The sequence below is a fragment of the Homo sapiens genome, chromosome 6, assembly GCF_000001405.40.
Source record: "Homo sapiens chromosome 6, GRCh38.p14 Primary Assembly".
Lineage (NCBI taxonomy): Eukaryota > Metazoa > Chordata > Mammalia > Primates > Hominidae > Homo > Homo sapiens.
In genome coordinates this window covers 166,633,236-166,655,319 of record NC_000006.12, presented here as the reverse complement: position 1 = coordinate 166,655,319, position 22,084 = coordinate 166,633,236, and the positions used below count along the sequence as shown (strand labels likewise).

General features: G+C 45.9%; 1 protein-coding gene and 1 long non-coding RNA gene across 7 annotated transcripts in view; one reads left to right on the top strand and one right to left on the bottom strand.

Moving 5' to 3' along the window:
* The window catches only part of RPS6KA2 (ribosomal protein S6 kinase A2), a 453,410-nt gene that overhangs the window by 207,454 nt on the left and 223,872 nt on the right, over positions 1-22,084 (top strand). The gene's annotated exons all lie outside the window — the stretch shown is intronic.
* On the bottom strand, positions 6,610-21,688 carry LOC107986671 (uncharacterized). Its single transcript, XR_001744466.2, has 3 exons — positions 21,306-21,688; positions 9,029-9,118; positions 6,610-6,676 (listed from the first exon to the last, which is right to left on the bottom strand). It is a non-coding gene; the product is annotated as an uncharacterized LOC107986671 (long non-coding RNA).

Here is a 22,084-nt window from a genome sequence, read left to right as displayed (position 1 = left end):
TTGTTATGTGTCCTTGGTGTTTTCTTCCTGTAGGGCATGTAAACTACTGATGTACCTTGTAGTCAGTCTTACCCTAGATACACTGAAGTATGATCATTAATTACTATGATCCGATGAACTTTGAGTAATAAAAAGGAGCAATTTCTGTGGAAGGTAAATTGAATAGTTTGGAAATATTCAATATATATGAACAAAAATGAGAACTTCTGTTGAAAAGAGTTGGGTGAAATAGTTGTAAAGTTTGGGGTTGCGGTGGGTTGTCAGTGTCTAGAGGGATTCTGCCATCCAGGTGCTGTTCAAAGTTAATTAGATTCTTCCCCCACCCTCAGCCTTGAAAATGGACACCTGATATTTTTTTTTACATTTTTTATAAGTGCTAAAGCCATGAGGGGAAAGGTTGAGGAGCTATTGCCCCACATCCTACTTATTAATTACGATGGGAAAGGTTATCTTCACAAAGGCGACCCGGCAGGCAGAAGCGAGTGTCTCCCACAATGGTGCAAGTTGACATGACAGGTCTCCTAACGTGATGTACAGCAGCTAAAAATATTTTACCCTAATCTAATTATGAAGAAACCACGAAATCAGTCCAGACTATGAAACATTCTACAGAGCAGCTGCCCTGAACTCTTTGTTCATAAATGTAAATGTCTAAACAGCAACAAAAACTGGAGGATACTTCATTCAAGAATACTGTTGAGATTCGACAAATAAGTGAAAAACTTTGTGATGGAATTGTGCAGAATAAATCAGTTTAAGGATATTGGGGGGAAACTGGGGACATTGTGTACTGAATCTCTCAGGCGAGTAAATTATATTGTGATTGTGTAGGAGCTCGTGTCAGTTTGATGCACACTGAAGCATTTTGGGTGAAGTATCTGCTAGAATTCACCCGGCTGGCAGTGGGGCCCGTCTAGAATTCACCCGGCCGGCAGTGGGGCCCGTGCCCTTTCATGCTCGATGCAGCTATTCGAGGGTGCTTGTTTCACGTTCATTACTAGATGTGAAGCATGATGATAACTTTTATTGTGGTTCTGTAGTATTATCTGCAGAAAAATATCTAATTTTCAAAAGAGCAAAATGCAGCTGTGGGTACATTGTTCTCTGTCATTAATTCTAAACCTTTTCTTTTCAATGGTTCTGAGGCAAACATTTGTTAGAGGATGCTGAGAATCTTTCGCCCTGAAGTATAGGTAAGTGTTTTTGAAAGCTTGACCAATATGATGGAAGAATAGTTCACTTTCGATCAGAATACAGTGTGCTATCACATCTGGTTAGTCTTCCCTAGTTTCACAGTTGAGAAATGATTTTTCTTTGGGGAGTTCTGCTCAGTATCACAGTGAGAGGTGGGAGAGAAGCCTGTTAAGACAGATTAAAAATATTCATGATTTTTGCACAGCCTCCTAAAATCCACAATTGTAAGCATTTGAAAATATGTTTAAATAAAACGTATTAATGAACATGTTTTGTTTGCATTTTGTGCAACAAATTATTCCTCTAGAAGTTATTTTCTGTTTTCCGATATTTCTCTTGTGTGTGCTACTTCACTTACTTCTGTCCTGTAACCAGGGAGCCGCTACCTGGAATTCATGTGCCGCTGAGATGGGATTTCAAGTAGCATTCCTTTCTCTTTTCCATCCATTTAGTTTATGAGATAAACCAGGAGTCACAGATAGAATGCTATTAGCTATTTTTATCAAGTGATACAAAATATGTGCAGGGCCTGGACAGCTGTATTTCTGGTTATTAGTAAGAAATCCAGGGAGACATCTGTACTTTTCTGGGAAGAGAAGGTGATTGATGGCAGCACTTAGTAGCCTGTCTAAATGCTGATTGCCATGTCGATTCCGTCTTCTCGTGTCTGATTCAATAACTGTGTGGGCCTGGCTCTGCTGGACCTAAATCTCTGGGATGAGTTAAGTCGATGGGAATTATTCACCTCCTTAAAAACATTATTAGGGCCAGGCAGGGCGGCTCACGCCTGTAATCCCAGCACTTTGGGAGGCTGAGGCGGGCGGATTACATGAGGCCAGAAGTTGGAGACCAGCCTGGCCAACATGGTGAAACCCTGTCTCTACTAAACATACAAAAATTAGTCGGGCATGGTGGCACATGCCTGTAATCCCAGCTACTTGGGAGGCTGAGGCACGAGAATTGCTTGAACCCAGGAGGTGGAGGTTGCAGTGAGCCAAGATCATGCCACTACACTCCAGCCTGGGAGACAGAACGAGACTCCCTCTGAACAACAACAGAAAATCATTAGGAGAGAAAAATGGAATAATGGGCAATGCCTAGTGGCAGGTTCTGTGGCCCGGGGCTACCCTGGGAAGGCAGAGTGTCCACAGTGGGTGCCCTGGCAAATAGCCTGCTGCTGGGCCCAGCATGATGAAGACAGCCCAGCCACCCAAGGCACGAGGCAGGGAGACAGGCGGCTGAGTTGCACCCTGATGGAATATTGATGACATGCGAGTTTAATTATAGTGCTTGCCTGCTGAATTTAAAAAAGCTTCCATTATTCTACACTGATTAAGATGGAGCTTGAAAATCTCGGTACGATTCACCACTACCCGCATCTCTTCCATGATCTCTGGGCCCCGCCTGAAATTACTAAGGACTCAACTCTCGCCTAGCTGGGGGAACCCAAGCAGGTCACCGGGTGGGATTTTAACAACAAGAGATCAGAGTTGAGTTGGTCAGAGGGTGCTCTGACACTGACAAATGTACACATTGGCTTTCAGTGACATAAAGATCAATACGGGCAAAAATAGGACATAACTTGATTAAGTCAAGAAACGTGTCCAGTTCATGGTTGCGCCATCGAGAAGACAACCTCCATGTGGTTTTTCCTAAGTTCCCCGAAGAGAATAAGGTGCAAACGATCAAACTCCTCATGGGAAACATCGCAAGGAAAACAGGTTAATTTATCTTGTGTTGAAGACAATGCATTTTCAGCCATCCTTTGGGTAAAACTAGTTGTATACTTCCCAAGGACAGTTAATTTAAGATTCTGAATAAAATTGTGAACTGGGAAATAAAACCAGAATATAAAATGCACAGTGAAGCGAGTGCTTGGTGAGATGCTTTAAAAGAAAACAATAGCAAATGAAGAAGATATAATACCCGCGAATGGCTCATGCCACATGTAATGCGAAGGTGTTTTTCTTCTATGAGATAATCCGAAGCTCTATCCTCTGACTTTTACTCTTCATATGTGAAGATGTTCAAAAAACAGTATTCTCATCATATCTATTTTAACATTCTTAAATTCTTCTAGCACTCAGTGGCGTTGAAAGTCTACTAGCAGAAGTAAATAAAGGGTTAGTGAAAGCACGGCAGTGCCGAGAACTCACTTGGAGAAGGCGGATGCTCCTGCATCCCGGCTCCACGTTGTCAGCCGTTGGGGGGCACAGTGCAGTGTGCGTCCACAGTGCGTGTGCACCTGAACTCATACAAGAGCAATAGCTTACACGTGGATTCCTCAGGTGTGATATCCTTCTCCAAATGGGATCAGATGGAAAGCTCTGATGAGGTATGAGATGGAAGAGTTGATGGTGTTGTATACGTGCCTGTGAGCCACACATCACTGCATAAACACCATCGTCATCAGATCGAAGCATCCTGTGTAAGGGCTGCTGTCCTCTTTAAGGATTCTAAACAAGATTAGTGGCATGTGGCACATTTAATCACTGCCAAAGGATGTCACTAACACTTCAAAGTGACAGCTAAAGTGCTTCGAGGAAATTTTTCTCTGATAACAGCCTTCGTAGCTTTCCTTGGATTTCCGTTGTCTTCCCGTGAAGAATTGTCTACTTCTGAAAAACGTTAAGCTAAGCAACAAAAGAGCCCACTGGGTATTACAAACCCATTGCCAAGTTTAGAAATACATAGAAAACCAATCAACTGCAAATCTCTGACTTTATTGCTTGTAATAACCTGTTTTTTAGATACTCTTACATAATCCTGTGCATTGAGATAATTGCATAATTTGGTTAAAAAAATCTTTGAATTGCTGCCCACATGATCCAACACTTTTCTGTACTTGCTGAATTGTACAAATGCTTGCAGATGGAGCCTCTAGAAGTAGAGAATATGTTCTGCTTTTTACCAAATTATATATATATGATATAAGTATGAGATAAAGTAGAAAATACCAATTTTAAACCAAGAAATCTGGGTTCTTATCTAAATTGTGATCCTCACACACTGGAGTGATCTGAGCAAGGCGCTGACATTTTCGGATTGACAGCCTGGCTTCCACAGCTGGACAGGCAGGGTCTGGGTAACACAACCACATCACGGGGCAGGTCCTTGTAGTCAGGGGACCTTTGCATGGAGCTGTCCATGGCCATAATTTTAGGTGCTGAAAACAATTTTAAAAAGTGATCTATTCCTATGTTCAGGTTCAAAGTATTAAACCCAACCACCTTGAGCCTCATGGGTTCTGTTCAGTCACCTCAAATCCCTCTCACCTGCCCAAACGAGACCTGCAGTCTTCAGGGTTCCAAGAAGAGCCTTTCTTACAGATGGCTCCAGAAGTAAAAAATCACTTAGAATTTCAGCCAGGACTGGAGACAGAGAGAGAACCAAGTGAACTTGAAGCCAACAATTTGAGTTTTCCTGAACCAGCAGAATGCCACCTACTTGGGCAAGCCTGACTCAGTTCACCCTCACATACAACACTGCAAAAATATGGATGCCGCTGGCTGGCCCTAGTGAAGGCAGGACACAGGCCTGAACAGTCATCATCATTTCCTGACCCGGAAGTGATGGCCGTGAAAAGAGGACAGTGAACACGGACCCCTCCTCCTTCTCTCCTCCAGCTTAAAGTGATGGCCGTGAAAAGAGGACGGTGAACATGGACCCCCCTCCCTCCCACCTCCAGCCTAAAGTGATGGCCGTGAAAAGAGGACGGTGAACATGGACCCCCTCCCTCCCACCTCTAGACAGCTGGAGAATGCCCCCTCTTCTTGCTACCCCAGTTCCTGGTGCAAATTAAATGCTAGTATTGTTTCAATGTCTATGAATAAGAATGTGGTGATGAAAGGCTTCCTGTGGGAGACCCCAGAATAGAAACCCCAGGGGAGGCCTTATCTCATTCCCTCCGCAGTAGAGAGGGGCTCTGGCTCAGCATCTTGTGGTACAAGTTAATTGTGCTTTTTTTTTTTTTTTTTGTAATTCCCAACAAAACAAATGAGCCTGGTGCTGAGGGAAGTTTCCTCATGGTATATAAATTTCCAGGTTTTTAAGGAATGAGAGCCTAATGTCACCCCATCTAACATTTCTGAGGCCAATGTTCTTTTAAGGGTAATAAAGATTTGTTTTAATAAGACTAACTCAGAGACTACTTCTCTCTACCCTCCGCAATGACCCACTACTTATCGAGATCATGTTGGGCATGCAGTTCTGAAGTTTCTGCTGGCGAGCCTTTAAACCTCTGGTAATGAAAGTTCGCAGAAAGACAGCCCTGCAGTCCTGGTAGCAAAACAATCGTGCCAGGTTCTCTGTGCTTTCCAAGGAAGACAGCCCGTGGTCTCAGCTCACCTGCTTGATGTGGAACGAAAACCCCCCGGGGTCTGGTTTTTCTTCAGCTCACTGGGTCTACAATCCCATCCATTGCATGGTCCTTTACTGAGCACCTCCTGCCTGCAAGGCCTTGCCCTGGGAGTGGGGGTTGCATGAGTGAGTAAGGTATAATTCCCAAATAATTATCATAGTAATAATTCTTCATTACCCCTAAAAGACCATTGGCCTCAGAAATGTCAGATAGGGTGACATTAGGCTCTCATTCCCTAAAAATCTGGAAATCTATATACCATGAGGAGGATTCCCTCAGCACCATGCTCATTTGTTTTGTTGGGAATTACGATACATAGCATGGGATTTAACAGGGAGGATGACCCGGAAACAGATTCTAGTTAGAACACAAGTTATACTGCAGTGGTTATAAAGTGCTCAGGGTTTCACAGGAGAAATAAGTTTTATCTTAATGGGAAATGAGGAAATGCATGAACAAAGGTCCTATTTAAGTTTGGACTTAAAAGATGGATAGATGATCTAAGAAGAAGGAAGAGGGGAGGGCAGGGGCAGGAGCGCAGACGGGCGCAGGGGCAGGAACGCGAGGGGCAGATGTGGAAATACTACCTGGTCCTGCTGGGTTTGGTGTGGAGCAGACTCTGAGTGGTGCGAGATGAAGCTTGAGGCTGGTGTGACAAATGAGGCCACGTTTGGAATAGCAGCTTGAATTTATTGAGTCACATTTTGTGGTACAGATGATTGAAGGGCAGAGCAGTGGAGAGGGATAATGCTTTGGTAACATATTGACTAGACTGGAGGAGGGGCGAAGGAAGGAGCCCATTAGTAGGGCTGGCATGAGGTGCCAGTGGCCTTAGAGAGACAGGTGAATTGGTGAGACGCTGCAAGGTAGACTCTATGGGCCTTGGTGATGGGTGAAATGCATAAGGGGGGTGAGGAGAGACAGAATGAGATGCTTCCTGTGCCAGGCACCGATGTTTTGAGTCGGACAGTCACAGATGGTCGGTGCCATCCCAAAGTTCAGGACCTCAGGACGAGATGCAGACGCCGGAGTAATCACTGTAATACAGATCGGAGTGATGCGCAGATGGAGTCGGCTGCAGAGAGTTGGAGACGGGATTCCAGCTAGTGAGAGAGGGCAGAGCTGGAAACAGATTAAGAAGTCAGCTGCGTGGCGGTGATAGGTGAAAATACTAAAATGGCGAGTCATTCAGGAATATACGAACTCACTCACGTGTTCAATCCAGAAACATTTATTAAATGCCCGTCCCCTTCCCGTGCCAGCTGCCTGTTTGTCAAATGAGACATGGCTTCTGCTCTCAAGTAATTCTTGCCCAGTCTCAGGTACAAAGGCAGATTGTGCAGCAGTTGTATATGGTAAGATGGAGGCGTGCACAATGTTCTCCAGGCCCTCAGAAAAACAGCATAAAAATCAGGGAGTGAGGAGAAGCGTGTGCATGTATGTGTGTGTGCATGTGTATACATGCGTGTGTGTGCATACTGTGTGCATGCGTGTGTATGAACATGAGTGTGTGTGCCTGTGTGAATGTGTGTGTGTGCGCATGTGCGTGTGTGTGCATGAGTGTGTGTATGAGCATGTGTGCATGTGTGTGAGCATGTGTGCATGGGTGTGTAACCATGTGCGTGTGTGCATGTATGTGTATGAGCGTGTGTGTGCACGTGTGTGTATGAGCGTGTGTGTATGACCATGTGCGTGTGCATGTGTGTGAGCATGTGCATGTGTGTGAGAGCATGTGTGTATGTATGTGTGTAAGCATGTGCGTGTGTGAGCATGTGCGTGTGTGTGAGCATGTGTGTATGTATGTAAGCATGTGCATGTGTGTGTATGAGCATGTGCGTGTGTGTGAGCATGTGCATGTGTGTGAGCATGTGTGTATGTATGTGTGTCAGCATGTGCATGTGTGTATGAGCATGTGCGTGTGCGTGTGTGAGCATGTGCATGTGTGTGAGCATGTGTGTATGTATGTGTGTAAGCATGTGCATGTGTGTGTATGAGCATGTGCGTGTGTGTGTGTGTGCATGTATGTGTGTCCTGTGGGTATAGGAAGCCTCCTGGAAAAACTTAAAAGTTTCAAAGGATGAGAGGCAATTGGCTAAATGGTGGGGCTATTTTTCAAATGTGCTACGTTTGGATAATTTAAGAGCAGTAGTAAAGAGTTCCTGTTAGGGAGCGGTATGGAAAGAGGTGGAACGGGCATGTAGAACCTTGCGTGGTCAGCTGAGAGATGTGAACTTTATCCTTAAAAGTACAGGAAATTATTGACGGTGTAGAGTAGGGAAGGGCTTGACCAGACCTGAATTTTTAAAACACATCTGAACAGCGGTGCAGACAGATTGGGGAGGAATCCTGGAGGCCCACATCCCCACCAGCAGAGAACTGCACTAACCCGGCAAGAAGAGATGAAGCCATGCCTCTGGCCATTGCGGCCATGGGGACGAGGCGGGCGTGTGGTGACAGAGCGATCAAACGCACAGGATGCAAAGTGTGGATAAGGGGCTGGGCTTGGGAGGGCCGTGAAAGGGGAGAAATCAGGATGATTTGAAGAACTGTGATCATGATGACATCAGTGTCATTTACTGAGTGGTTTAGAGTTAAAAAAAAAATAGGAGAACACTGGGGCAAAAAAGATGGTGAACTGGGAGATCGGCATGACTCAGAACGATTTCTGGCACATACTGATATACAGATATTTGTGGAATAATTCTTCCCTGGCAGTGCCTGGAGGACATCCACGGAGGCTTTGGGACCTGTGGCTCTGAACTGGGGTAGGAGGTCTGGAGGGCTGGGCGTCAGCCTGGAGAAAGGACAGAGTGGGAATGCGAGCAGCTGAGGGAGGAGTGGCGGCCGAAGGCACACAGGGGAGCGGCTCGCACAGAGGCCCACACCCACCACGGCCTGAGAAGCAGGAGAACTTGCTGGAGAGGGGAAAGGTGCCTGAATTAGAATGGAGCAGGAGATGCCTACCTCTGAGATCTCAAAGGAGATTCAAAAGGGGTGAGGACAAAAGGGTTTGCTTGGTAGGAGTCAAGGATCCTAGGAACTGAAGGGGGCTTAGGGGTTCACTTCTTTGGGGTAAGCTCTGGTGTGAGGAGCCCCTGGTGAAACGAAGAAGGTCCCTGAGAGCTGCACCGTGGCCCAGAAGGGCCAGGCTGGGACGCGGGTGACCCCAGGAAGGAGCGTGTCAGGGGCCCCAGCCAAGGCATGCGGCTGGACCAGGTCTTCCTGGCGGGGCCCTTGCGCTGCACAGATGCAATGTCATGAATAAAGAAGACTCCAGGCTGACCTCGACTGGCTCCTCCGTGGCCTAGGACTTATCCTGTAAGGTTCAGTGCTGCTGACTGGCTTGTCCAGTCCCAAGCTTGGCTGGTTGTGTTCTTTCTCTTTCAGGGCCTCTTGGAAGGTTTGGCTCTCAGGGCAATGGCCGTGTGGGCGTGTGGGTCCAGGGGGGTCCCTGCTACCTGGGTCTAGACTTACCTCTCCCAGCCGCCGCTTCTGTTCTGCAGCCAGGGTGTCAGAAGCTGGTCCATGTGGAACCGATCAAGAGATTCCACGTGATCTGAGAGACTGAAATAGATGCCCTCTGATCAACTGAGATGGGCACTAAGTTTAAGGAAACCAAGCCACCCCTGGGTCATGGGTTCAGTGCTCAGGGACCATGGCAAATTTCCCAATTCCTACAGCTAAATTCCCTAACAATAGGAGCTATCAACTCTGATTTACAACCTCACCACTACAACTCTAATTGCACAGAGGACTGGCCCTAGAAGCAAACGTTTTGTTCTAACGAGCACTTGCAGACTCCAGGCCCGCTTTGGCAGCTTTGAGGGGCACGCACAGATTGTCTTTGCATCCTTTAGTTCACCTTCTGACAAGTTTCTCCAGACTTGGCCAAATATCCATTGGGAGGCAAAATAATCTGTGGTTAAGTTGAAATGTTGACACATGTAAACCACACTTTGAGTTTGCAAAACTATGGCAAAGTTAATGCTACTGTTTAATTCATACCTTTACTTATTTAGAGCTAAAAATGAATTCTTATGTGCCAAGAACTCTGTGGGTACAACATGGACTATGATGAGCTGGGGCCAGGCTTCCTGGAGTGCCCCCATCTCCAGGTAGATCCAGAGAAGGGGGGGCACATTCCCGTGAGCATGGCAGGGCTGCTCCAGGAGGTCCTGTAACCCAGCCTAGGAACCAGGGCAGACCTCCCAGGAGTGGAGTCTTAGCCAAGGCCTAGGAGAGGGACAGAGGTGAGCAGGTTGAAGAGAGAGGAGGGGAGGTGGAGAGTTTGTGACTGGCAGAAGGAACAGGGTGTACCAGTGCTTAGGGGAAATATATAGAAAGCGGCTAAACGGAAACTCCAGCCCAAGTGTTCTGATCCCATTCTCAGTGTTCTTTTACTTAAACAGCTTCCCCCACACGACTGGTAATTCAAAAACTAACGTTGTGCCTCTGATTCCAGCTCCATAATTTATCTTATTGGCAGCCTGGTCACCCTTTGCCATTCTTCATATTGAAAGGTGAATACTTGTAGATGCTATTATGCATCTTGTTACATTTTCAAGTCTTTATCAAATAGGAAACTTTAATAGCTAGCTTTAAAGGATGCGTAAGTAGTTTCGTTCATTTTCTAGGTCTGCCATAAGACAGCATTACAAATTGGACAGTTTAAAATAATAGGAACTTGTCCTCCCACAGTTTTGGAGACCAGAACTCCAAAATCAGGGGTGGGCAGTGCCTCACTCCCTCTAAAGGCTGTAGGGAAGAATCTGATTCATGCCTCTTTCCAGCTTCTGGTGTTGCCAGCAATCCTTGGTGTTCCCTAGTTTGGAGATGCCCCGCTCCAATCTCTGTTTCCTCCTTCACCAGGCATTCCTCTGTGTGTATGTGTCTCTCCTTATAAGGACACCAGTCATATTGGATTTAGAGCCACCCTAATCCAATTATGACCTCATGTTAACTTGATTTCATTTGCAAAGACCCTATTTCCAAGTGAGGTCATGTTCACAGGTACTAGGGGTTAGGACTTCAAGGTGGCTTTTTGCAGGATGCAAGTAAGCCACAGCACTCATTATGTTAATGCTACATGGACACCACAAACCCCTAGGCTGTAATTTCTCTCTTTACTTTTTAATATGTATGGGCCCTTATTTAAAATACGTCTAAGCCAAAACACATTTGCAATATACTTTCACGCAACTTAAGTCAGATCCTTCCCTGAGAATACCGGGAGGTTTAGCTAAAGCAGTTGCTCCTGGAAAATGATGATAGGATTGGAGCCTCAAACTTCCTAAAAGTCACCAGAATCTCCAGCCAGTTGTTCCCGGAAGGACATGTAATCACAAGAATAACTGGAAGAAGTGACGTCATGGACTGGGGGAGCAGGCACAGTAAATGGGACGCACATTGATTTGAAGAAATGTGGGCTTTTCCCTGTGTTGAACTTCAGGATGTACCATTGTGAATATAACATCTGTGCCCTACTAGATAATTCCCTTTCTTTTCGTTTTTGAATAGTACATGTTGTATGCCCTTAGCAAATCTAAAAATAGTATGTAGAGTTACTGACTTATTGCCTCAGTTGCCCAAGGTTATGTGCTAATTACTGGCTTAAAAAGAGGAAAAGGGAAGGAGAGGAGAAGAGAGAGAGGGAACCAATTGTCACAAGTTAATCCTCATTCTGCACTTCCATCCTGTGGCACAAAGTGCATGTCAAAAAAGCAGTAGTGGCCATCTGGCTGCCAGTTCAGTGACTGCTTTCACTCGTCTATCCATTCAGCAAATATTTGTTCTAAGTAGATCAGCCATCAGTAACAGGCACTGTGTATAGTGATTTGCCAAGGAGACACAATTCCTGCCCTCACAGGGTTTACAGTCTAATAAAAGCATTAATTAAATGCTCACACACATACACCTAAGTAAGTATTCCCATCTAAGAAATTCCTAGTATCTTAAGAGCATCTGCCAGGGCACCTGACTAAGTCTGGGGGTCACAGAGAGCATCCTTGAAGGACTGACAGCGGAGGTCAGAACTTTAGGAGGATTCAGTATTAATCTTGGTAAACAAAATTGAAGGCAGGTACCACATCGTCCAGATGAGAGTAGCAAGATATACAATGGCCCAAGACATATATTGAGACAAAAATTTTTCTAAATAATAATGGATTTGTCAATTTCTCCTTTTGGTTTTGTCATTTTTTGATTAATACATTTTGAAGCTATATTATTTGGTGCATGTAAGCTTAGAATTATTGTATCCTCCTGGTGAATTGAAACGTTCATCAATATGTAGTGCTTTTTCTATATCTATGAATGCTTGTTGCATCCTATGTATGACATTAATGTTACTTCTTTTCATTAGTTTTTGCATGATGTATCTATTTCCATTATTTTATTTGAAACTTTTTATGTATCTTGTTATATATGTTTTTCTATAACTAAATTTATTGTAAACCTATTTGGCACTCTTTGTCTTTTAACTAGAGAGTTTAGCTCATTAACATTGACTTTATTTTTTTACATATTTTGATTTATTTCTATTTAGATTGTATATGGTCTAGGATTTTATTTTGCCTCACTTACAAACTACTAATTAGCCCAATAATAGCTACTAGAAGAGTTGGTGGATATTGGAAGATCAGAGATAAAGGACATTTTAATTCAAGGAACAGAAAATGGCATGAGTATCATATTTGCATAGGACTCCTTTGCCCCCCACATCCTATGGGGGCCTAGATGCATTCTATGTTTACAGTAAAACTGCATCTCAGTTGAGGAAAGCTGAGCTTGGGGAACCTGGTGTTCTTTAACAAGAGGTCAGCAAGCCTGCTTTTGTCTTGGAGGAAAATGTTACCTCATTTCCCAAGGTTGCTCACTGCAAATGTGACACTGAGCAATGGCCTGGGTTAACAGTGGTCAGTGCCTGACATTCGTCACATACTCAGCAAGAAGGTGCAGTGACGCTCAGGACCCATGGCGGTGGCCCTTCCCAACAGTTGGTATTTTTTTTACTTATCCTGCTTTTTCCAGGTGTCTTTTTTCCTGCTTTCTTACTATCATTTGAAATTTTTTTCTTGTTCTATACTTTGACCTCTATTAGTTTGGCAATTACACATTGGATTTATATTCCTTTAATTGATTGCTTTGGAAACTTTAGCATGTATGCTTAACCAATCTATTGAATTTTTGTCTAAAGGTAATCAAGCCTCTTTATCTTCAGAAAAATATGAAAACATTAGAAGGTTTTAACTGATCACTGTCCCGTATATGCTATTTTTAAATAGCATATTTAAGACATCAATTCCAACTTAAGTCCACAAATTATACAATACACAAATGATTTACTTTCATGCAGCTCGTGTGTGTCTAGCTTTACCCACACAATTTCACTGGAAGTGAGAATTTTCTTCGATTGTTTACTTGGAAATGTCTTTGTTTTGTCCTTGTTTGTGAAAGATTTTTTTTTTGTAGGACAGAGAATTCAAGGTTAAAGTTATTTTCTCTTAGCACATCGCATATATTATTCCACTCTCTCAGCTTCCAATATTGCTGTTGAGATGGTAGCTGACAGTAATTAACATTCATTTGTAGAAAAGTTGTCTTTTCTTCTGGTTGCTCTGGAGAGATTTTTTTTTTCGGTTTTTGGTATTTCAAATATTTAATATGATGTATTTAGGTATCATTTTCTTTTCATTGAATCCTCCTGGGGATTTTGGGGGTCTTTATAAATATGAAGATCGGTATATTTTATCTACTCTGAAAAATTCTGCAGTATTGCCTCACCTCTTTGAATAGTGCTTTTCTGTTTTTCTTTGTTTCTTCTGTCTCATTCTAATAGTCAGAGGCATGCTGGATTTTTCTCCTTCTATCTTCCATATTTCCTAACCCCCCTTTCATATTTCCTGTATTTCTGTCTTTCTCTCAATTATCATCAGATCCAACGTCTCTTTTACCAACTCTTTGTTGGACTTTGCCCAAACTGCTGTTAATTGATCTATTGAATTTTTTTTTTTTTTTTTTTTTTTTTTTTTTTTTTTTTTTTTTTTTGTGACAGAGTCTCACTCTTTTACCCAGGCTGGAGTGCAGTGGTGTGATCTCGGCTCACTGCACCCCCCGCCTCCCAGGTTCAAACTATTCTCCTGCCTCAGTCCGTGTAGCTGGGATTACAGGCATGCACCACTACACTGGCTGATTTTTGTATTTTTAGTAGAGATGGGGTTTCGCCATGTTGGCCAGGCTGGTCTTGAACTCCTGACTTCAAGTGATCCGCCCACCTCAGCCTCCCAAAGTGCTGGGATTATAAGCATGAGCCACCACACCTGGCCAATCTATTGAATTTTTTATTTAAATTATTACTGTTTCAATTTTAAAGTTTTACTTATTTTTACAAATCTGCTTGGTCATTTTATAATCTCTTGTTTTCTTGTAATGCTTCAACCTTCCTTGCTGTTTTTCAAATGTATTGAAGACACATATTTTATATTATTTATACAAATTCCTAACCTTTGCTATCTGTACAGGTCTGATTTTGGAATTTGTTGTCTCTGCTGACTCTTGCCCACAGTTTGTATCTGTGATTATTTAGTGATTTATGTTTGCGAGCTCATGCCCCTTAGAAATTTCCCGTTTAAACTGTGACACGTGTTTAAAGCATGTTCCTCCTGATTGTACTTACATTTGCCTCTGCCTGGTCCTCTGGGTGCTACCAATCTGGAACCTCTAAAAACTATAAGTTTGGATTGGAGTTTTTCAGGCCATACTAGCAGTGAGGATTTTGGCTTCCAACTGGCTGAAGTGTGAGCTAAAGAAATCTGAGAGGGCAGTTTTTACCCCTTGCTCTTTGCCACACTCCCACCTGAAGATGCAAGCCTCCTTCTTCACAGTGAGGTTCTTCCAAGGTCACGCCGTTGAGTCTGCTCTATGGGAATGCCGACTCGGATCCGACCCCCCACACCCTGCTTGGCCCCCCACTGAACCTCTGGTCTAGATGGCAGAGACTCACATAAGCCTGCAGGACAGGCACTGCTCAGAACAGTGCTCGACCTCACAATATCTCCTTATCCTCATTTTTGCCTGCGTTTATTCTTCCCTGCTTACTATCGGACCAGCCACACTTCATTAGAAGAGATTTCCCCCTTGTTTTATCTAGCATTCTCATGTGTTCCGGGAAGGCTCTCTCTACATACGTGACCCAGCAGGTTGCCCAGAACAGGGAAAAACCCAGCGGAGCAGGGAAGGGCGGTGCTGCCTCCCAGCCCCAGCTTCCTCCCGAGCTCCCCTGATGAGGGGAGGAGGAGACCGCACCACAGGGCGCGCCTCTCCCGGGGCTGCCACACGGGCTATTCTCAGCTCCCCCTGTCTGGCTTTTACGTGTTCATCAAGTTCTCATCTCTAGTAGAGGTATTTAGTGCCTGAAATACTATAGGTGTTTATGAAATATTTTTAAACAATGAAAATTTGCTAAAACAAATCTAGCAAAGATTTTATGTTCTCTTTTGTACCCATGCCAGATCTTGAGAAATTTTTCTATGATGGGTTTTTTTTTTCCTTTTTAAGCTACAGAAATCCTTCCTGCTATAGTTGTAACCTGTTTCCTCTTTCCTGCTGACTCCCTTCCTTTTGAATTCCTCTATAATTTATGTATAGGCTTGGAAAAGTCCCTTATTTCTGTGTTAACCTCCTAGAGCCTCACCATCTTCACTGCATAAGGGGGTTCGCTGTGTCTCTTTCGTAGATAAATGTGTCACAGAAATAATAATGTAGACCAAAGCTCTTCCTAATCAGCAACCCACTGAAAATAATCCTAGTAACGTCTGTTTACACACACGCATGGAACGCTACGGACACTTGCTTCTCTGAAGTAGTTTAACATTGGTGGGAGAGAGAGGGGAACCCAAAGTTTTAATACAGCACAGTGAGCAAACTAGAGGAACCCAGGAGAGACCCCAACAGGGCCTGTGGGGTGGAGTGATCTCGGTGTGGCTTCCTGGAGCAATGCTGGGTCTGGAAGATGCTGGAAGGAGATGTGGCCAGTGGGCAGAGGCAGAGCGGGCAGGAAGGACAGCCGTGGCCACTGCGTGAATGATGTCACGGAGACACCACAGTTCATCTTCTTAGGAGTAAGTCAGCGGGGCAGGAGCAGAGACTGCACCCTGGAGGAAGGAGGAGAGGCAAACGCAACATGGAAGAAGGCCTGGCTAGGAAGAACAGAGTCTGGGGCTTCCAAGCTTCCAAGCTCTGGAGCTATGCATGCCCTGGGGTAACTGAACCAGATTCGCTTCTAGAAGGATCAGGCTGGTGGCAGGACCACAGGTGGGTTGTAGGGAAAGCCTTTAGCCAGTAATTACTATTTTCTGGCAAGAGCTAAGGAGGACCCACGCTGTGTTATGGAGGGCAGGGTTGGAAAGAAGGCAAGACGGGGAAAACATGTAGAAGGCACAGTTGACAAATCTCAGTAACTAGAGACGTAGGGAATAAGGACGTGTCAGGAGGTCACGGTAAGTCTTACCTTCTGGTTTGGGCAGCGGGGCACATGGTTATGCCTTGCATAAGACAATACAGTTGAATAGGGGAGTTTTCAGATACAAATTCTCATATTTGGGAGTCGACTGCCTTCCCAGCCATTTCATTAATTTTCTGTGTGAAACTCTAGGATTTCTACGAATAACTCCATTGAGCACCTTATGATTTATAAAGCCCTTCCACATATTGGTTTAACTGCATGAAATTGCTGTTTGCATAGGTGACGACCTGGTGAGAACAGGGTTTTTTCCCTCTTCTTCCTCCCTCTTCATCCTAAAGTGAGCTTTTTCAACCTCACCATCAACATTTTTAAAAATAGACTTTATTTTTTAAGAGCCATTTTAGGTTCTCAAACAAACTGAGCAGAAGGAACAGAAACTACTGACATTTTTGATGGACACGTCTTGGTAATGAGCCTGTCCTGTACACTGTAGAGGGTTCAGCAGTGCCCGGCCTCAACCCACGAGATGCCGGTAGCCCCACCCAGCTGTGACAATCAAAAATGTCTCTAACACTGCCAGACGTCCCCTGGGACCCATCCTCTACCGCCCCAGAACCACTGTTCTAGAGACTCAGAATTTCAGCCAAAGTCAGGTCATAGGATCTGAACAGCGGGTAGAAATTTAATTCAAGATATTTTACTTCCCAGTGTACAGTCCATCACAGGCTCCTGCTTACCGCGGTCGTTTTTAGATCCGTCTTTCGCCTGTCTCCAGCTACATCTAATTTGCTCTTTAATAAATGGTACACGTGCTCAGCTATATGTAATTCATGTCTTTCCATTTCAAGAGCGACGTTGTTCATTTTTTTATCTGCTTGGTCACTTTGAGTCTCTTGTCTTTAATGGCATTTTCATATCTTGCTTTTATCTCCTTAAGCTTATCAAATCTGACATTCACTGCTCTCTCCTGGAGGGTCCAGTGGCTGGAGCCTGCTCACAGCCGAGTCTGCGGCTGGCTGGCTTTCGGGCTGTGCTCCTGACTTCAGCGGTCTTGTGGATTTTGCGCACAGTGATTGCGAGCTTGCGCTCCTTGGAGCTGTGTCTGAGGGATTTCTTTGAAGCCTGGCTCTAATGCAGATTCCTCTAGAAAGCATTTGTGATTGTTTCTGATAGGCACCTAGGGCAACAACAACTCAAGACCACTTTAAATTGTCAGCCGGAGTTGGTGCTGCTGTTTTCACACAGGCGGTGAACCGAGGCCGTGCCCCTGGGCGAAGGCTGGCTGTGGCCACAAACTCCCAGAGGATTTCCCACGCTCCCGGCCCCCTGCTTAGCGCCAGTGTTCAACCACGATTCCTCATCCAGGGGGTTATGGGGTCCTCCCTCAGCCCCGCCCTCAGGCCAAGTGCAGCGCCCTGCTGGATCCCCACTTTGGGGAGTGGGCTCTGTCCCCTGCGGCCCCCACGGCTGAGACACGGGGTCTTATGCTGCAAATCTGAACCCGCTTCTTGGTTCCTGCCTCTGCTTCCTCACCTCATTGACTTGAACAAACCTGGCTTGAGATTGGGTCAAAACACACATTTCAATGTCCACCAGTGGGACAAACGCCCCCTTCTCCAGTGAGGACCCTATCACTTTCCACAGCTTTTCTTCCCACTCTTGGACAACAGACAGCCCACACTGACTTTAAGTTCTGAGCGCTTGGTTAGTATTTCCGGTCTTCAGGATGGGTCCCTTTCAGAGACCTGCGCAGGCAGCCTGCAGTCTGAGCTTGCTGGCTCTCCTACTCTCCACCTTGTGTGTCCCCTACCACCCTCTCCCCCGACCTGGCACCTGCTCATTGTTCCTCTCGGCTCATTGTTCCTCTCAGGGCCAGAGCCAGGAATGAGGAAGAGGAGGGGAGAGAATGGGCTTCGACTGATCTCCTCTCTTCCCCAGCCTGACCCTTCTCTCCTGGAGGTCCCTGTTGGCTTCACTCCAGGCAGGGTCTCTGAGGACTTCGCATGGCCCCTCCTTGGCCCAGGCCCGGCCTGTAGGAAGCACTCGTGTGTCCTTGGCCAACAAGCCTTGCGCGGACAGGGTCAGCCACCACACAGCCTCTCTGTCCTCCTCGCGTTCCCCTCCAGATGGTCCCAGTGGAAGCCAGACCTAAGCCACCTGGTCCTAGCATATCAGCACTCCCCAAGGGGCCCCACAAAGTCATCCTGCCTGGGCTACAACAACAGAGGCGGCACCTCCCCAGCCCTTTAGGTGGTGGAGAGGAAGGGTGCTCAGCACAGATGCTGCCGAATTTCCTCCCCTGCATGCTCCCCTCCTTTACTCTCCAGGCCATCCTGTGTTCTCAGAGACCGGAGCAGTGTCAGGGTTTTGGAACAGCCTCTCAGCACTTTTTTTTAAAAATTGGCCTATAGCTATTTGTCCTTGAAATTTTCAAACTTAGTGTATCTCAGGGAGTTGGTAGAAACTTTCCTTTCAAATGATCAATCCTGAAATCCTGTTTGTTCTAAATTTAACCCTGGAGTTCATCCACTTCCCTTCGGCCACACCCTGCTTCTCCTGGCCTCGTTCCCCAATGTCTTTATTCAACAAGGGCAGCAGATATCCACGGAGTGCCTACTGTGAGCTGGGCTCTGTGTCACAGCAGCCTCTGGGATGTTAAAGTTCCTGTCCTTTAGGGCCTTATATTGTGATTACTGGAGACAAGCATTTAAAAGGTGAAAAGGATGAAGGAGAAGGAGGAAGAGGAAGAGGAGAAGGAGGAGGAGGAGGAGAAATATGTGGAGGAGGAGAAAAGGAAGAAGAATCACATATTATCAGAAGTTTTGTAAAGAAAATGAGCATGAGGTGTTCTAGAGAGTAGTGGAGAGAGGCCCTGTCTGAGATAGGCTATCCAGAAAGGCCTCTGCAGGGAGGTGCTGATTCAAGCCTGTCTGAGATAGGCTATCCAGAAAGGCCTCTGCAGGGAGGCGCTGATTCAAGCCTGTCCGAGATAGGCTATCCAGAAAGGCCTCTGCAGGGAGGTACTGATTCAAGCTGGAAGCCAAAGCTTGAGAGCGAGCTGGAACAGGGGCCCAGGCAGAGGAAGGAGCCAGAACCCAAGGCTGGAGGTGGGACGGCCTTGGCGGTTCCAAGAATGAAGGGAAGGCCAGGCTGGTGGAGCCCAGGAGCAGGGTGGGGCAGGGCGGGATGGGCGGTAGGTGGTGAGACCCAGGGTCTTTGTAGCAGAGTCAGTGTAGGCAGAACGAGGAGTTTGGGTTTTATTATACTTTACTGGCAAGAAAGTAAGAAGCCTGGAAGAGTTATAAGCAGAGAAGTGGATGATTGGATTTGGATTTATGTGGAATGGCCATGGGCGGCCAAGCTAGCAGGTGACCACCCTGGTCTAGAGTAGGGTTGGTGGCTTGTCCTGGAGTGGACGCAGAAGACGAGCAGGGTCAGACTTAAGACACCCTTTACCGGACACACCCAGGTCACCCTCCTGGGGTGGATGCAGCCTTCTCCCCAGGGTGGGGATGGTGGCTTGTCCTGGGGTGAGCGCAGTAGGTGGGCAGGCTCAGAGTTGAACGTCCTTCTGCAGACACACCCAGGTGATGCTCATGGCATCCTCCTGCCAAAGCCTCCCGGGCTCTTCCTCCTCTTCTGGGGTAAACTCCATGGGGCTCTCTACCATGTGACCTAGCACCCCTCTTCTGCCCTGTCCCCACTCCAACACACCCTCACACAGCAGCCAAATGAACCTCCTCAGGACCATGCTCTCACTGGCCTTTAGCCTGAGCTTCCCTGACGGAACACCCTTGTCTGTCCCTGTGTATCTGGCTGGCGCTTGCTCATCATAGCCTGTGAATGTAGCAGTCATCTGCGAGACTAAGGGCTCCTCTGGGGGCTCCCGTAGGGCTTTCTCTCCCCTCTAAAGCCCTTCCTGCCTGGGAGTGAACGCACCCTGGCTTGTCTGTGCTACCCCAGAGACTGCAGTGCCCGTCAGGGCAGGAGTCCCTGCTGTGCCCAGCCCCTCAGATCCCAGCCTCAGCACAGCCCACAGCAGCAGGCACAGTAGATGCGCAGAGGACCTGGGTTGATGAATGACACTGGGCTCCTGCCGTGGTTCTCTAACTCATTCATGCCAAGGTGTACGTGGGAGAGAAGTGATTGATAATTAGTGAGTCACAAACATGAATACAACCAAGTATGCCCCACACGGTCACTTTCACGTACTACCGTTGGCTCTCCGTTATCACAAGTCTTTTTAAAATTATTATAATTTAAAAATTATGGTCTCATTTTCCTCATATTTTAAAAAATTGTTCTAGTTCTTGAATATTAGTTTTTTTCCTGTGGATTTTTAAGGATGTGAGGTATTTATGGTGTGAAACTATACCAAACACTAAAAAAATCTGCAAATGAACACTGAGTGTAGTGGCTCACACCTGTAACCCCAGCACTTTGGGAGGCTGAGGTGGGCGGACCACTTGAGGTCAGGAATTCGAGACCAGCCTGGTCAACATGGCAAAACCCCATCTCTACTAAAAGTACAAAAATTAGCTGGGCAAGGTGGCGCACACCTGTAGCCCCAGCGACTCAACAATCACAGGAGGAGGAGGTTGCAGTGAGCTGAGTTCACACCACTGCACTCCAGCCTGGGGGACAGAGTGAGATTCTGCCTCAAAAAACATTTGCAAATGAAATTCCCTTTTTAGAGTTATGTGTTATTTTCTCATCTCACATAATTTACACATGTCTTTGTTTTTCCATGTTTGTGGTCATGTTGGAATAAAACCTGACAGTTTTGCAAGTCATGGATTTACAGGGAAGCATCTGAGTGAACTGTGTAAAAGCTCAGCGATTTCGATTTCGATTTTGATTTCGAGGTGGTAAAATGGAGGGATGAGGAAGGGGGAGGAGCAACTCAGAGGTGGCGCCTGTGGACGCAAGGACTTATCCTGGAAACGTCCGGCCCCATTTCCTTCCCCTCAGCCCGTGGGTCTGCGGCAAGTTCTGCTCCCAGTGTTACTGCCCACCTCGGCCTCTTGCTCTCCATCACTGTGGCCACTGCGGTTTGCTCTTCATGAGGACACTGTCCTGCCCCACAAGACTGTCACAGGGGCACCTCCCCGAATCTGCTTCCTCTGCTGTGCACCCTGCTGCCAGGAGAACTTTCTCAAATGCAAGTGTGTCCCTGTCGTCCTTGGCTTCACGTTTCAGTGGCCTCTTTGTTAAGCTGAGAACAAACGTCATTCCCTCTGCCTGACCCCACGCCCTGAGCCCACACTCTGCCCACACAGTGTCACTCACCCCAGGGCCTTTGCGCAAGCTGCTCTTTCTTTCTGCTCTCGTCTCCACTTGCCTGGTTTGAAAAACCGTCCCCGTGTCCCTCTAGTCCTTCCTCCCTCCCCATGGGCCAGCTGCATGTTTGTCTGCCTTAAAGCGTGGCACGTTCCGCTGACTCATAGTATATTTTTGTATCTGATCATTTGTCACTAGCCCGTGATGATCTTGTGAGAGGGCACAGTGCTGAGTACAGAGGAAGAGATCATGAAATGCATGATACGTGAATAAATTCAAACAAGTAATTCTTCCATCCTATAATTATAACTGTAATTATAATCTCACAGCATTTTCTACCATAATGTTTTACAAATATTATGACTATTAAATAATCTGTAAGTAACTTTTATAAAAATTTAGATTTAGTAACTAGATTTAAGTCTGGATTAACCGAGTGAATAACGAATGCCTTGCTCAGTATATCAGTTAGGATTCCTTTGGCTGCTAATGACAGAAAACTCAGCTCAACGAGAAGATTTATTTTCCACAGAAGTAAGCCTCAAAGCGGTTTGGCTGCAGACTTGGTTAATGCAGTAACTCAACAGTGTTATCAAGGATCCAAAATGTTTCCAGTTTTCTGCTGTGCCATGCTTAGCATGACCTCATGGGCCCAAAGTACTGCTAGCTCTGAGCATCCCATCCTTACACACTGGCCAGAGGTAGAAGAAGAAACTCACCCCTTTACTCTGCCCCAATTTCCTTTCTTGCTCTGTGGACTTAGGCAATCTCCTCTGAGGTTGTTTTTT